General features: G+C 43.3%; 1 protein-coding gene across 15 annotated transcripts in view; it reads left to right on the forward strand.

The window, feature by feature from the left end:
- RAP1GAP2 (RAP1 GTPase activating protein 2) overlaps positions 1–16,773 on the forward strand; it is a 282,097-nt gene that overhangs the window by 214,271 nt on the left and 51,053 nt on the right. For 14 of the 15 annotated variants that reach the window (XM_047435668.1, NM_001411048.1, NM_001438816.1 and 11 more), the window contains 3 exons: positions 10,372–10,450; positions 11,280–11,333; positions 15,068–15,151. In XM_047435668.1, the coding sequence (XP_047291624.1) occupies positions 10,372–10,450; positions 11,280–11,333; positions 15,068–15,151 (217 nt within the window). Of the gene's footprint in view, positions 1–5,745; positions 5,861–10,371; positions 10,451–11,279; positions 11,334–15,067; positions 15,152–16,773 lie in introns of those variants that run through there. The other variant, NM_001438819.1, reaches the window with a different exon arrangement.

A 16,773-nucleotide genomic window follows, 5' to 3' on the forward strand; every position in this document is an offset into this window, starting at 1 on the left:
AATGTCTTAATTTATTTTACTGCTGGATGGTATTCCATTGCATGGATGTGAAATAATTTATTTAATACATCCCCTGGGCCGGGCATCGTGGTTCACGCCTGTAATCTCAGCACTTTGGGAGGCCAAAGCAGATGGCTCACCTGAGGTCAGGAGTTTAAGACCAGCCTGGCTAACATGGCAAAACCCTGTCTCTACTAAAAATACAAAAATTAGCCGGGCGTGGTGACATGCACCTGTAACCCTAGCTACTCGGGAGGCTGAGGCAGGAGAATCACTTGAACCCGGGATGCGCAGGTTGCAGTGAGCCGATTTGGCGCCACTGCACTTCGGCCTGGGCGACAGAGTGAGACTCTGTCTCAAAAAAAAAAAAAAAAAAAAAAATAATAATAATACGTCCCTTGTTAATGACCATTGCCAATATTTTGGTAACACAATAATGATTAAATGAATAACCTTGTGCAGACTCAGTTTTTATGGATTATGATAGTTTCTCAGATGAGATAGCTAGGTTAAAACATAAATGCATTTGTATTTTGATAGATAACGTTAAATTGCCCTCTGTAGGGGCTGTGTAAATTCCAACTTTCACCAGTAATGTATCAAAGTGCTTCTTATTCCAAAGCCTCTTCAGTAGAATGTATTGTCAAACACTTGGATTTTTGCCCGTCTGATAGATGAGAATAGTATTTAGTGTTGTTTAAATTTATAATCTTAATATGAATCATGTTGGACATCTCTTCATATATTTAAGAACTGCCTCTATTTATTTGCTATGAACAGTTTATAAGCTTTGCTTCTTTTTAAATTGGGCTGTTATTTAAGATTCTATTTTTTAAAATCTTGGCTAGGCACAGTGGCTCATGCCTATAATCCTAGCACTTTGGGAGGCTGAGGCGGGAGGATCACTTGAGCCCAGGAGTTCAAGACCAGCCTGGGCAACACAGGGTGACCCCATCTCTTAAAAAAAAAATTAGCTGGGTGAAGTGGCACACACCTGTGGTCCCAGCTACTCAGGAGGCTGAGGCAGGAGGATTGCTTGAGCCTGGGAGGTCGAGGCTACAATGAGCCATGATTGTGCCACTGCACTACAGCCTGGGTGACAGAACAAGACCCTGTTTTTAAATAAATAAACTAAATCAATCAATCCATCAATCAGTCGACCTATGTAACTAACTTACTTGTAGGTAATTATCGATAGCAGCTATAATTAGGAACTTCTGAACCACAAAGTAAAACTAAATACATTTCAGAGAGCAAGCTCTCTGCTGGATGTATTCACTTACAATTTGATGATAAAACTAGCAATTAATAACAAAATAATGATTTAAAAAAACCACTAAACCACTGAGAAGTAAACAATCCCAATACTTTCTTAAGTAGCTTTTAGGCCAAAGGGAATAGAAGCTGCAGTTACAGAATATTTATAAAGTAATGACATTTATAATACTATACATAAAACCTATGGGTTGTATTCAAAGCAATACTTAGAAAAAAATTTATTACCTTAAATGGTTTCCTATTAAATAAGAAAAAGAACTGGCAGGTGTGTTGGCTCATGCCTGTAATCCCAGCGTTTTGGGCGGCTGAGGCAGGAGGGTCACTTGAGCCCAGGAGTTCGAGACCAGCCTGAACAATAGAATGGACCTCATCTTTACAAAAATAAAAATAATAATAATACAGTAAAATAAAAATAAGAGTGATATTTGCAAGTTGTTATTATTGTTAGCAACTTCTCTGTGTCTCATTTTCCTCATCTGTGAAATGATGATGGTAGCATGTACCTTGAAATTATTGAGTGCTTACATGTCCTGGTGAGTGAGGACCTTACATGCTGCAGCTGCTCAGTAATGGTGGCTATTATTATTATCAATATTGTTACCTAAAGAAAGCCAGAGGAAGGAATTCACAAAGATTAAAGCAGAAATAAATAAACTAGAAATAAAAATAATTTGAGACTTGATAAACCTAGGTTTCTTTTGGAAGAAGCAATAAGATAGGTAACTAGCTAGTCGAATATAGATGAGAAGAGAAAATAAGAATATACAAAATTAGTCATAAAAAGATGCATGACCACAGATGTGAAGAAGATTAAATGATTACTAATGGATGCTGTGTTCAACTCATGCTATTAAATTGCTTCTGTTTCTAATTTTATTTGAAATTTTATTTGAAACAGATGCCTTTCTAGGAAAGTATGCCAAATGTAACTTAAGATGAGGTAAAAAAGAAACCTGAACAAACCGGTAACTGTGGAAGAAATTGAAAAAGTTCTCAAAGAATTATCTCTTCAAATGTTTCTAGATCTAGATGGTCTTGCAGGAAGGTGTTTTAAACTTTAAAGGAGCAGATTTTATGTTATTTAAACTGTTCAAGAGAAAAGAAAAAAAAATATGGAAAGCTTCCCAATTAATAATGCTTAAAAGAGCTTTATGGGCTGGGCACGGTGGCTCACGCCTGTAATCCCAGCACTTTGGGAGGCCAAGGCGAGTGGATCACCTGAGGTCAGGAGTTCACGACCAACATGAGTGAAACCTGAAATGAGCCTGGCCAACATGGTGAAACCCTGTCTCTACTAATAATACAAAAAAATTAGCTGGGCGTGGTGGTGCACACCTGTAATTGCAGTGAGCCGAGCTTGTGCCATTGCACTACAGCCTGGGTGACAAGAGTGAAAGTCCTTCTCAAAAAAAAAAAAAAAAAAAAAGGATCTTTTTGAATAAAATCAGTCAAATGAGATGCAAAAAAAGGGTAGGGGCCAATATTCCTTACGAATGTAGAAATCAATGTTGTAAATAAAATAGCAGCCCCAGAAACTCAAATCTAAATAGACTAATAAGAGTAATTCACTATAGCCAAGAAAGAGTTATTTTACCAATGCAGGATGGTTAATATTAGGAAATTCATTCAGTGTTTGTTTACCCAAGGCTTAATATATGCCGGACTTTGTCTGGTTGTAGAGATACTGTGAGGAATGAGTTCTTGCTACTTGCCCATAGAAGGCATTCAGTCCAAATGCACTGCGTTTTAGAGATTCTTGTTTCTGTTCTCGGTCTTACTCATCATCTTCTTCTTAGGGACAGGGATCATTATAGGCTAGTGAGGCTGATGGGAGACGTAGGTGGTGAGGGAGAACTGAAGGCAATGTGGAGGGTGTGTCTGAGTGTGTGTAGGGTTGATAAATGATGCTAGAGAAGTAAGAAAAGGCTAGATCCTGTACCAGTGATGTTTAGGAGCTCAGATTTTATCCTAAGAGTCATAGGAGAGGTACTGAAGGGAGAAGGTCATGATCAGATTTGCACAGTAGAATGATCACTCTGGCGCCGGGCGTGGTGGCTCACTCCTGTAATCCCAGCACTTTGGGTGGCCAAGGCAGGTGGATCACCTGAGGTCAGGAGTTCGAGACCAGGCTGGCCAATGTGGCGAAACCCTGTCTCTACTAAAAATACAAAAACTAGCCAGGCGTGGTGGTGGGTGCCTGTAATCCCAGTTACACAGGAGGCTGAGGCAGGAGAATCCCTTGAACCTGAGAAGTGGAGGTTGCAGTGAGCCGAGATCACACCACTGCACTCCAGCCTGGGTCACAAGAGCAAGAATCCTTCTCAACAAACAAAAGGAAAACAGTAAAATTGTTGGAACTCAAGAAATAATTGTAGAAATAAACAACAACATGGGATAAAATCTAGTCTGTTTAAATAATGAATTTATGAATTGGAAGATAGACCCAAGGAATTCCTCCAGAACACAGCACAGATCAAGAGATGAAGTATATGAAAAAGAAGATATGTGGATAATAGACTGGGAGGCCCCAGCATGTGTCATAAAGACGTTCCGGAAGGAAAGAATAAACTAGTGAACAAATATCCACAAAAATATTAGATGAGAATGTTTCAGAATTGAAGAAACCACACACCGTGCTGCTGAAAGTGATTTAAAAACAAAACAATACTTCTAGACATGCTGAAGTGAAACATCAGAAATAAAAGATTTTAAAAATTTAAAAGAATTTTAAAAGCTGTCTGAGGATACAGACAAGATAATCTATGATCTAATGAGAACTAGGATGAAAATAGATTTCTCCCTATCCATGATAGTTGTTAAAGACAATGGGGCAATATCTTTCAAGTGTTTAAAAAAAGAAAGAAGGGGCCGGGCGTGGTGTCTCATGCCTGTAATCCCAGCACCTTGGGAGGCCAAGGCGGGCGGATCACGAGGTCAGGAGATCGAGACCATCCTGGCTAATACGGTGAAACCCTGTCTCTACTAAAAATACAAAAAAAAAAAAAATTAGCTGGGCGCAGTGGCAGGCGCCTGTAGTCCCAGCTACTTGGGAGGCTGAGGCAGGAGAATGGCGTGAACCCAGGAGGCGGAGCTTGTAGTGAGCCGAGATAGCGCCACTGCACTCTGGCCTGGGCGAAAGAGCGAGATTCCATCTCAAAAAAAAAAAAGAAGGAAAATAACCCTCAACCTAAAATTCTATACCTAGAAAAGCCAAAGACAAAATAAAACTGCTTTCAGACATAAAAAAATGGAGGGAATGTCCCACTCGGGCTCTTTCTGAAAGAATTACTGAAGGATACACTTCAGTCAAAAGAAAAGAAAAACCAGAAAAGATTTAATTAGAAAGTGACAAGAAATAGATAAAATATGTTGATAAATTTAATTACTGATGGTAAAAAGTGGGATTTTTTTTTTTGCATGTTTAAAAGGAGGCTTGAACTAAATTTATAAACAAAAGTAGCAAGGACAATGGGAAGGAAAAAATGTTCAGTGGATAAAAGCATACTCTGTTGTTGCTTATTTGTGCCCCTCAGGAGAGAGAATACAATCTTAGAGTTTGATGAAAAAAATATAAATAGGTGTATTGGAAGATACAGAAATACAGTCTATAGCAAATTAGTAGGAGATAAAAGGAGGATTAACAAAAAGAAAGCAAAAAACAAAACATCAATTGAAGGTAGGAAAGGAAGAGAAAAAAAGGAAAGAAAACACAGGGAACAGAAAATATAAAATGATGGTTTAGAAATAATTTCAGGCCAGTCACGGTAGCTCACGCCTGTAATCCCCACACTTTGGGAAGCCAAGGTGGATGGATCACCTGAGGTCAGGAGTTTGAGACTAGCCTGGCCAACATGGCGAAACCCCATTTCTACTAAAAATACAAAAAATTAGCTGGGCGTAGTGGCATGTGCCTGTATTCCCAGCTACTCAGGAGGCTGAGGCAGGAGAATCACTTGGACCTGGGAGGCAGAGGTTGCAGTGAGCTGAAATTGCGCCACAATACTACTCCAGCAGGTGACAGAGCAAGACTGCGTCTCAAAAAAAAGAAAAAGAAAAAGAAAAAGTTTCAAATATGATAGTAATTGCAATAAGTATAAATAGATTAAATTAGCCTATTACAATACCAGCCTATCAAATTGAATTAAAAATATAGCTATATTCTGCTTATAAGAGACATACCTAAAGAAAAATGGTGTGGAAAGATTTAAAATAAAGGAATGGAAAAAGATATGCTGGGAAAGTACCATGAACGTTGGTATAGCAATAGTAATATCAGACAAAATAGAATTTCAGGACAAAAAGACTAGGGATAATGTACTCCTTTGTAACCTGGAATACTTCTTCCCCACTCCTGATGTTTCCTGTGGCTAGAGGGAATACTTTGGTGTAACACCCGGGCTCTCTTCACCCTCCCTGATGGGCGTGTTTGGGAGCAGGAACTCACGTGTGTAGCTGTGTTCCTTCCCCCTTTTCCTCTTGGACAGAGCTGCCCTGAGGGTGGTCTCCTGTGCAGTTAAGTCTCACCTGAGCAGCTCCATGGGAGGGGGCTTGCCCCTGGCCCGCACTGCCTGTGACTGGGTGGGTAAGTTGGGCTGATTCTGGTATTTAGTTAGACCCGTTTCATCTTCACACTAAGCCGTGTGCTCCCACGTGGTGGAGTGATTTTGACTCCGAACACCTTACTCTGTTGTTTGTTTGCTTTTGAATTTGTTCAGAAACTGGGCAGGGAAAGAGTCCTTTTTCTAGGTCCCCCAGAGGCCTTGGCCTGTGTGATTATAAAGAGGGCACGTTCTGTTTTTCATCACCCTGATGTTCCGTGAACACGCTCTGTTCACCCGGAATATCTAACAGTCATTAACTTGTACTTAATAACGTCGTCTTGAATTTTAAAAAGCAAAACTGAGAGAAATAGAAGGAGAAGTGGATAAACACTGAGTTATAGTGGGAGATTTTGACAACATTGCTGAGAACCCGGTGGATTGAGCAGGCAAAAAATTGTGAGGCTATGGAAGACTTGAAAGATACAGTTAACAAATTTGATCTTGGCTAACATGTATTCTTGCTCTTAGCAAAAGAAAAAAATACATTTTTTCAAGCTCACATGGAGTGGCAAAAAGTAAAAGTCCATGTATTAAAGTCAACACATTTCAAATAATATCATTTAGATTGTGTTCCTTGAATATAAGACAAATTATCAACAATTAAAATACTGGAGGGGAAAAAATCTCATATTTGGAAAGTTAAAAACTTTAAAAAATGACTAATGGACTAAAGAGGAAATCACAAAAGAACTGACAAAATATTTAGAACTAAATGACAGTGAAGATACTGTGTATCAAATTGTGTGGGCTGCAGTTGAAGTGGTATTTAGAGAGAGATGTATAGTTCTAAATGCACTTTAAAAAAAGATTAAATGAGTAAGTATGTAGGTCAGGAAGCTGGAAAAAGAGTAGTTGAAAAAACTCTGAAGAAAATAGAAGGAAGGAAATAAAAAAGACAAGAACCGACTAGTGAAATAGGAAGCAAAAATAAAAAAGGATAGAGATGGTAAAAGAAAAAACTCAGTCTTACTAGATCTTACTAGTCTTTCAAAAGACTAGTAAGATCGATAAACCTCCAGCTAAAACTGATAAGGGAAAACAAGGAAAAGATACAAACAGGCCAGGTGTGGTGGCTCACGCCTGTAATCCCAGCACTTTGGGAGGCTGAGGCGGGTGGATCACCTGAGGTCAGAAGTTCAAGACCAGCCTGGCCAACATGGTGAAATCCTGTCTCTACTAAAAATACAAAAAAATTAGTCAGGCGAGTTGGCGGGCACCTGTAATTCCAGCTACTCGGGAGGCGGAGGCAGGAGAATCACTTGAACCTGGGAGGCGGAGGTTGCAGTGAGCCGAGATCCAGCCTGGGCAACAAGAATGAAACTCCATCTCAAAAAAAAAAAAAAGAAAAAAAGAAAAGAAAAGATACAAATAGTATTACAGCAGTAAAGGTGAGGACGCAGTTAGAAACAAAGATGAAGTCTTCAGAGAATACCAAAAACAACTTTGTATCAATGTGCTTAATGAATGCTTTTATATAAACATATAAATTTCCAAAATTGACTCAATAAGGAGTAGAAAACCTAAACATTCACCACTAAAGAATTTGAATTAGTACGCAAAAGTATCCTCCTATAAAAACAGCAGGCCCAGAGATGTCACAGACTAGTTTTAGCAAACCTTTAAGGAATGAGAAAATCTCTTTATTATACAAACTATTTCAAAGGATCAAGCTGGGCGTGGTGGCTCACATCTGTAATCCCAGCACTTTGGGAGGCCAAGGTGGGTGGATCACTTGAGGTCAGGAGTTGGAGACCAGCCTGGCCAACATGGTGAAACCTCGTCTCTACTAAAAATATAAAAATTAGCTGGGCGTGGTGGCGCATGCCTGTAATCCCAGCTACTCGGGAGGCTGAGGCAGGAGAATTGCTTGAACCCGGGAGGCAGAGGTTGCAGTGAGCCGAGATTGTACCACCGCACTCCAGCCTGGGCGACAGAGTGAGAGACTCCGTCTTAAAAAAAAAAAAAAAAAAAAAAAAAAGATGAGAAGCAACCCAGCAATTTTATAAGACTGGAATAACACCTTGATATCAAAACCTGGCAAGGGAAGCACAAGAAAATAAAAAATAGGCCAGTGTTGCTTTTGAACAGAGCTGTGAAAATCTAAATAAAATACAGTAGTCTCCTCATATTCATGGGGGAAATATTCCAAGACCCCCAGTGGATGCCCAAAATGTCAGATAGTCCCAAACCTGATTGCCGTCAATGGAAACACATCTGTTTATATCTTTCACCCACACATGTCATCCTCTTTTCACCTTAACTAAGCATTTATGCACTGTGGGCATAACTTTTGCAGTTTGAGGTCCAACAGCAAAACTAGCAATAATTTCTTTTTCCTTCTTCACAATTTCACACATAGAAAATTCATCCGTACCATGGATCTCAGCAACCTTAGCATAGAATTTTTTTCTTTCCTTATTAAGAACTTTCACCTTTCGACTTAAAGGAGGCACTTAACAGTTTCTCTTTGTCATATCCAAAGTGCCAGCCTCACTCATGGGCCTTGTACTTTGGGGCCGTTATTAGTATGATAAGGATGAGGGTGGCTTGAACACAGGCGGTGAGATACTGCAACAGTCCCTCCGATCACTGAGATGGCTGATAAGTGACTGATGGGTAGGGAGCGTGTAGGGCGTGGGTATGCTGGACAAAGGGAAAATTCATGTCCCGGGTGGATAGAGTGGGATGGTGGAAGATTTCATCATGCTATTCAGGACGGCACAAAATTGAAAACTTATGAATTATTTCTGGAATTTTCCATGTAATATTTTTTTGGCCGTGGTTGACTGCAGGTAGCTGAAACTGGGGAAAGCAAAACCGTGGATAAGGGGGACTGCTGTATTAATAAATTGACTTCGGCCGGGTGCTGTGGCTCACCCCTGTAATCCCAGCACTTTGGGAGGCGGAGGTGGGTGGGTCACCTGAGGTCAGGAATTCGAGACCAGCCTGGCCAACATAGTGAAACCCTGTCTCTACTAAAAATATAAAAAATTAGCTAGGCATGGTGGCAAGCACCAGTAATCCCAGCTACTTGGGAGCCTAAGGCGGGAGAATCTCTTGAAACCGGGAGGCGGAGGTTGTAGTGAGCCGAGATCACGCCATTGCACTCCAGCCTGGGCAACAAGAGCGAAACTCTGTCTCAAATAAATAAATAAATAAATAGGCAACAAGAGCGAAACTCTGTCTCAAATAGATAAATAAATAAAAAAAATAAAAAAATTCAGGATATTAAAAATAATATGTCAGAAGTAAGTGGAGTTTTTACCCATGGAATCAAAAAACGGCTCAACAGAAATGTAATTCACCAGGTCAACAGATTAAAAACCATATGGTTATCTCCTCAGATGCAGAAAAGCATTCAGTAAAATCCAGCATTTTCATAATGTGCTGAATGAATCAGGGGATCAGGCTAAATTTAGACCCTCATGGTGAATCCCTTTATGAAGCAGATTCCATCCCATTTATATTTTGAGTAAGCCCAGATTTTGAAATACTAGGTTTTCTTTTCATAAAGGTTTAATTTCATGACGAAACCCAAATATATCCAGAAGCTGTGCTCAGTTCTTTGGGAGAACACAAAAACCTCCAAACAAACCAAAAAATAATGGCATCCTTATTTGCATTTCCCGTATTTCAGTGGCAGACAGATATATCAGGCGTGTTCTGTTTTTTTTTTTTTTTTTTTTTTTTGAGACAGAGTCTTGCTCTGTCACCCAGGCTGAAGTGCAGTGGCACAATCTCGGCTCACTGCAACCCCCACTTCCTGGGTTCAAGCGATTCTCCTGCCTCAGCCTCCCAAGTAGCTGGGATTACAGGCACCCACCACCGCGCCCAGCTAATTTTTGTATTTTTAGTAGAGACGGGGTTTCACCATATTGGCCAGGCTGGTCTCGAACTCCTGACCTCGTGATCCACCCTCTTTGGCTTCCCAAAGTGCTGGGATTACAGGCATGAGCCACTGCCCCCAGCCAGGTGTGTTCTTTAAGTAGCCACCTCCCCAGCATGCCTAAGTAGGATTCCGTTTTCCCACAAGGCAAGTGTGATGTGTGGTTGGGCCACCTGAGGCCGATCTGGCCTCAGAGAATCCTGAAGCCAGTGTCCTATGTGCTGTGATCTCGGCCACCTTCCTCTTGGACTGTTTCTTTCCTTTTCTTCTTTTTTTTGAGGTGGAGTCTCACTCTTGTTGCCCAGGCTGGAGTGCAGTGGTACAATCTCGACTCACTGCAACCTCCGTCTCCCGGGTTCAAGCGATTCTCCTGCCTTAGCCTCCCAAGTAGCTGGGATTACAGGCATCCGCCACCACGTCTGGCTAATTTTTTTGTATTTTTAGTAGAGACTGGGTTTCACCATGTTGGACAGGCTGGTCTCGAACTCCTGACCTCAAGTGATCTGCCCTCCTTGGCCTCCCAAAATGCTGAGATGACAGGCACGAGTCCCCGCGCCCTCACTGACTGTTTCTTAGGGATGTCCTTTTTTCTCCCGTCTTGTGCAGGTCCAAACTGAAGACGGTACATGAGCGGATCCCCTTGGCTGGACTGAGCAAGCTTCCCAGTGTCCCTCAGATTGCAAAGGTGAGAAACCAACCCGTGAGAGATGGTGGCTTCCTCTCTCAGCCCAGGGCTGGCCTCTGGAATGGGGGTGCAGGTATATCCTGGGTAGGCTCAGCCCTTAGAGAAGGGGAGGCCACTTTACTCTTTGGCCATTGACTGCACTGATAGGGGTCTGGGAGGGCTGTGGGCAGATGCCTCTGTCTTTCCTACGCCCTCCATAGCTCATCCTTGTTGCCGAGGCTGCTTAGGAACAGTATCCTCCATGGTCTCTACTTCCAGGTAGTTCACAGCTAGTTTGGGAAGTGAGAGAAGTAGAAAGACGGGGCTGGATGTGGTGAGTGCTGTAGGACTTCCGTGGAGGGGTGAGGGCGGGTGGCCTGGGGAACCTTCACAGCAGAGGAAAGGGCTGAGTTGGGCTGAAGGATGATCCAGATTGAGCACCCCCTTGAGTAAGGAGGCTGCGAACCTGAGAACTGAGTTAGCAAAGTGGGTGAGCAAGAGAGTCAGCTGGGTTGGTTGGACCCTCACTCTGGGAGCAGGAATGTCACAGAATTGTGCTGGAAACCTTTGGTGGCAGTTGTGGGCTGGATAGTTTTTGGCCTTGTCTTCAGGCCAGAACGGTGACGAGCCTCAGGCTTTGTCTAATCCCTTCCCACACTTCATCAGCAAACCCCAGAAAGGGCGGTTGACTTGCCTGGGCACGTGTTAGTGAGCAGCAGTCAGAATCCCCGCCCAGGCCTCCTGACCCATGTGCCTCGCCCTCCCATGCCGCATTGTCCAGGTGGGCAGAGGAGCCCAGATGTCCTCTACAGATATCATCCCTGACCTGCGTCTTCTTCTCCCTTCTCAGGCTTTCTGTGATGATGCAGTGGGACTGAGATTCAATCCTGTCCTGTACCCCAAGGTAAGGACCTTCATGCTCCCAACATAGGGGCCCTGCAGCTTGGCAAGGATTTGCAGACCTGTGGCTCTTTGGGGAGTTCTCTGCATCATAGTGGGGTTTCGTGGGGTCTCCATAATAAGCTTCCATGTCTCCCTCTCTCCCTGCCCACCCCTTCACAAACTGCTCCACTGGGAACCCAACCTCAGCCATGCCTAGGTCTCCAGCCCAGCTGAATTGGTCCCCAGGCTGCTGTGAAGGTGACAGAGGGTAGCAGTGTTGTAGCTTCTCCACCACACCTCATTGGTACCTCCCTGAGGCCAGTGCTGGAGGTGGACGTGACTCTGTAGCTGGGGGCTGGTGCAGATCCAGTCTGCTGTCACAGAGGGGCGGGAAGTACAGCAGGCAGACACCAAGAAGAGAAAGGCCAGACAGCCGCCCCGCCATTGCCTGTGTTACTGCAGCTCTCCGGCCATATAAGCCTCTGCTGCCTTCATTTATAAACCAGCTGGTTTTCTGATATCAGCTTCCTTTGAATTGGCCTGATACTGACCCCAGTTCTGATATGGGCGTGTGAGTGGGAAGAAGAGCAATAATAATAAACCCACTGAGGAATAATTATGGCACAAGAGGACTGAAGTCACCCATGGACAGTGAATTGCTTGAAATTGGCCACAGGAAAAGACCCAGTGCATCGACTGCGTCTTCATGGGCCAGCAGGCTCTGGAGAGGGACAACGGAAGCAGAGCTGTGCTTCTGAGCTTCTGCCGTGGGTCACGCTGCAGCGGCTGAGGCCTGCTGGGACCGGCTCTGTCTATCCTCTGAGTCCCAACTCTGACAACCAGGACCCGTGAGATGAAATGTCTGGTGAGGAAGAGAGGCCCCATTCCAGCAGAGACATCCAGAATCCCCTGGAACAAACACTCTTTTTTTGAGACTGAGTCTCGCTCTGTCACCCAGGCTGGAGTGCAGTGGCGTGATCTTGGCTCACTGCAACCTGCACCTCCTGGTTGAAGCGATTCTCCTGCCTCAGCCTCCCAAGTAGCTGGGACTACAGGTGTGCGCCACCATGCCCAGCTAATTTTTGTATTTTTAGTAGAGACGGGCGTTTCACCATGTTGGCCAGGCTGGTCTCGAACTGACCTCAGGTGATCTGCCCTCCTTGGCCTCCCAAAGTGCTGGGATTACAGGCGTGAGCCACCTCGCCCGGCTGGAACAAACACTTTCAGTGTTCAGGATTGGGCATGCCACTCTCAGAAGCAGCCGTGTATCCATCTGCAGTGGCTGAGCGAATGGCGGAGTCCTTTCCTGCACAGAGCCTTTCGTCTTCCACGTGCCTCTGTTTAGCTGTTTTAGCATCTGTTGATACCAGGAGTATGCTACGCTTCATTGAACATTTTCTCTCATTGAGACTGACCTCCCCTTTATAATTACAACTGAATGAGTGGGGTTTAACCAGACATTAAAATCCCATCATAAAGGTCTAACTTAACTACCGGTTTGGCAATTTTGGTTGTCAAATCTTAGCCACCGAGAGGACCAATGGTGTTTATTTGCAGAGTTCTCTCTATCCCTTGGAAAGCCTCGGGCCTTGGTCATAATGGAAGAGCAGCTGTATTTTCATGTTTTCTGTATCTGAAGGACCGCTGAGTCCGGCTGGGATGTTCATCTGGCTGAGATGCACGCATGTGTGTGTTTTTAAAATTTGCAGAGTTTAGAACGTTCTTTGGACGTTCTCCATGGCCTGGTGCCTCTCCCTGGCAGGGCAGCTGTTCCTCCCCTGTGACTCACCCAGGCAGGAGTGGAGGCTCCAGGGTCGGGCAGCAGCGCCGTCGCTGGGGGAGCTGCGAAGCGTCCGTTTCCCCAGACAGCTGACAGCTGAGAGCCTCACAGAGACACACAGTGTGTGGCAACCTCACACAGGCCGCAGATTCCGGCCAATAAGTCGTTCCTGGTTTGTTCTTCCTCTCGCATAACGCGTGGTTGAATCCCTCCTTTTTTTTTTTCTTTTTTAAATGTCACATTTAATGTTTTCACCGCTGTCCTTCAAATCTAAGTTGTGCAAAGTGACCAGAAAGTGTGCCACGGTAATTGACCAGCCTCTGAGATTGAACCTTTCACACTGGTGCCTTTTTGGGCTCTTTGGACGCTAAACACGTTTCTCATTCAAGTGCGTTGACATGCTTCAGTTGGGTTGATTCTCAGGAGCGTCATAAAAAACAAAACAAAACAGAAACAAAGATATTGCGCCATCTTTGTTTAGTAATTTAATGTTTGTGTCTTTCGTAGCAAATAATTACTTCATTGAAGTTAAAACTTCCAAACATAACTTATTAATGGTCTTCAAATTCAGCTCAGATCACTCAAGTCGAAAGTACTCTGCTAAGTACAGATAATTTAAAATAGCTTTAACAGTTAATTGTCCATAACACACACCAAGGTTTTTTTCCTAGACCAACTGTAAGACGATCCATTACTATTCCTTGTACAGGTGAAAAATGATACTCAGTTTTCTTGTCTTTTTATTTTTAATGTAAAAGTTGGAAGGGACGTTCAAATTTCAAGTCTCCACACTGAGAATCCCTCCTTTTTATTGCTGAGGTTATCCCAACAGCTCCCAGATCTTTTCTTCCCCCAGTAAGCTGGTTCAGCTCTGATATTTCTGGAGGGTCATATAGATGATGATGGTGTTGATGATGATGATAGCTGCTCTGTGCTCAGTTCTTTCTTTTTGAATCTTCATAACCACACATCTGCGTTTAACAGATGAGGAAACTCAGCTCCAGAGAAGCAGCTCACTCAAAGCTACATAGGTAAAAACAGTGGATTCAAAACTAGAGTTTAGGCTGGGCGTGGTAGCTCATGCCTGTAACCTCAGCGCTTTGGGAGGCTGAGGCAGGCGGATCACAAGGTCAGGAGTTCGAGACCAGCCTGGCCAACATGGTGAAACCCCGTCTCTACTAAAAATACAAAAATTAGCCGGTGTGATGGTGGGGGCCTGTAATCCCAACTACTCGGGAGGCTGAGGCAGGAGACTTGCTTGAACCCGGGAGGCGGAGGTTGCAGTGAGCCAAGACCACGCCATTGCACTCCAGCCTGGGTGACAGAGCGAGACTCCATCTCAAAAAACAAAAACAACAAAACCCGAAAAAACTTGGAGTTTAATTTTTCTGATCCCAGTCATCAACTCTATGATGCGTAACGGAAAATTAGATAGAACCAGGAGTCAGGTTTTAAACATTTCCTCTTTGCATATTGTATTAGGGTATGTTCCTCCTTAGCGTGGTCTCCTTAGAGACCTCTCATTTTATGCAGAGGGGACTGAAGTTTGGTCAGGAGCGGTGACTTGCTCGGACTCATGCTGCTGATTAGAGGTGGAATTAGGACTAGAGTTATCCTTGCTGACCAGTTTTGGGGTTTTGGCTTCACTTTTTACACCACAGATTCAACACTAGGGTTAAGTAAGCTGCTGGACACATGTGCCCGAGCCTTGACTGGCACATCTGGATGGGAGTGGAATGAGTGATACAGAGGTTTGGTTCCTACTGGGGAAGCCCAAGTTTTAGAAGCTAGCTGACTTTGGAGCTGCGGCCTGACTGTCTACTTATTATTTCTCTCTCTCTCCCTCCGTGTATGTGGATGTTTCATACCAGGGAACACATTCTCTCCCCAAATGGATGCTTCCCCTGCCATGTGCTTCCTCACTTGCTTCCAAATTTAACAAATGTTGATTTTTTTTTTCTTGCCACATTTTCCAGGCCTCCCAAATGATTGTGTCCTATGATGAGCATGAAGTCAACAACACATTCAAATTCGGAGTCATTTATCAAAAAGCCAGGCAGGTAAGCAGCACCATCCATACCGGTGACTGTATCCCGTGGTTTCTCACTTAGGACTCTTTTTATCCCCACCCAGAACACAGGAGTCCTGACCTGCGTTCTGAAGCATTTGGAATACAACGGTCACATTTAAGGTATGAATTAGACTGGAGGTGGCAGAACTTTCCAGCAAGGGTACTTCTTACAAAAAGGCCTGCACGTCCTTAAACAGTGATGTTTTTTTTTTTTTAATATAGCAAATTCTCATTCTTCCTGGCTGCCTCGTCTTCTACGTATTTATGGGCTGCTGGTTATAAGAAAAACCAGACTAGGTCAAGGGAATGGAGGAGCATAGGCTGCTCTCTCCTTGCCCAAATTTCTCCCCACTGGGAATTAGCTTTTTCTCCCCAAACTTGAGTGATGTGATGGAGCCAGCTGGGTGCGTCTCTTCACAACTCTGTTCCGTGACATCATGTTGGCAGCTTGAAGTCAACCATGGTGGAAGTATTTACACTATGGAAATTTGCAAACACCAGGGTTTCTATCTTCCTCCTTTGGAGAGCCAGTGACTCAAAATATGCCAGCACACCACTGCTCAGCCTCTGTGTTTTGTAGCCCTCACACGTTGCTTTGGAGTTAACTGGCCAGAACCATGTTTCTCAAAGTGTGTTTCATGAATGCGAGTCTGATGGTGTACTCTGTGAGCAAATGACCTGGGGAGGGGTTGTCACTTGTGTGGGAACCTTTTAAAGGCTTAAAGAACCCCCAAGGTAAAGGGCTCTTTATAACTTTGTTGAACTTAGTGGTTTCCATACTTACGGACACAAACTTCCCATCTTCCCTACCTCTTTCCTACCATGAACATTTATTAACATCCCAAGTAGAGGGGTTAGCTGAACACACTGTTTCCTCACCGAGACTCTTTGAGAGAAAAGTTCCACACCCATTTCATCTTTGTATCATCTAAGAGCCTAGCATAGAAATACACCTTCATATAAATACACTCCACTGTTAGGTGAGTTAATGAACGAATAAAAATGTTGGCCCTACTAATGGCAGGTTAATAGTATCTTCTGATACTATTTGTATTTTTTTGCATGATGGTATCTTTCTTGGTTAGACGACACCTGATGTTCTCATTTAGAGATATTGGCCCTTAAGAGACATGCGTTTGCTTAAAAATATTCTAATTATATGAAGAGTTTAGGATCTGCAAGACGAACACTGATGAATCTTATAAGTTAAGGGAGATTATTCAGGTAGCTACTATAATCATTTTCACATATTACATTTTTATTTTATACAGCTTTGCTAATAAAACCCCCTAATTAAAGTTCTTTGCTTGTGGAATTTACCAAAGCGGATCTTATAAGCTGATTATAATCCAATGTTCCAGCAAAGTTATAATTACTGAACATGAGCCATCCGTCTCCGAGAGGGAGTCTGTGTATTGTTTATGTACCTGATGCTGCTGTGGAGGAAAAAGCCAAGAAGATAATTTTTTTTTTTTTTTTTAAGAACCTAGGCAGATTGTTGTTTTGCAAACCTGCAGCTGGGGGACATTTAATATGAACATTTGTTGCATCAAAGCCCTATGCTGGTCTCTGGGTATAAATGAGCCTCACCTAACTCTCGTGTTTGCTGTT

The sequence above is a fragment of the Homo sapiens genome, chromosome 17, assembly GCF_000001405.40.
Source record: "Homo sapiens chromosome 17, GRCh38.p14 Primary Assembly".
NCBI classification, from domain to species: domain Eukaryota; kingdom Metazoa; phylum Chordata; class Mammalia; order Primates; family Hominidae; genus Homo; species Homo sapiens.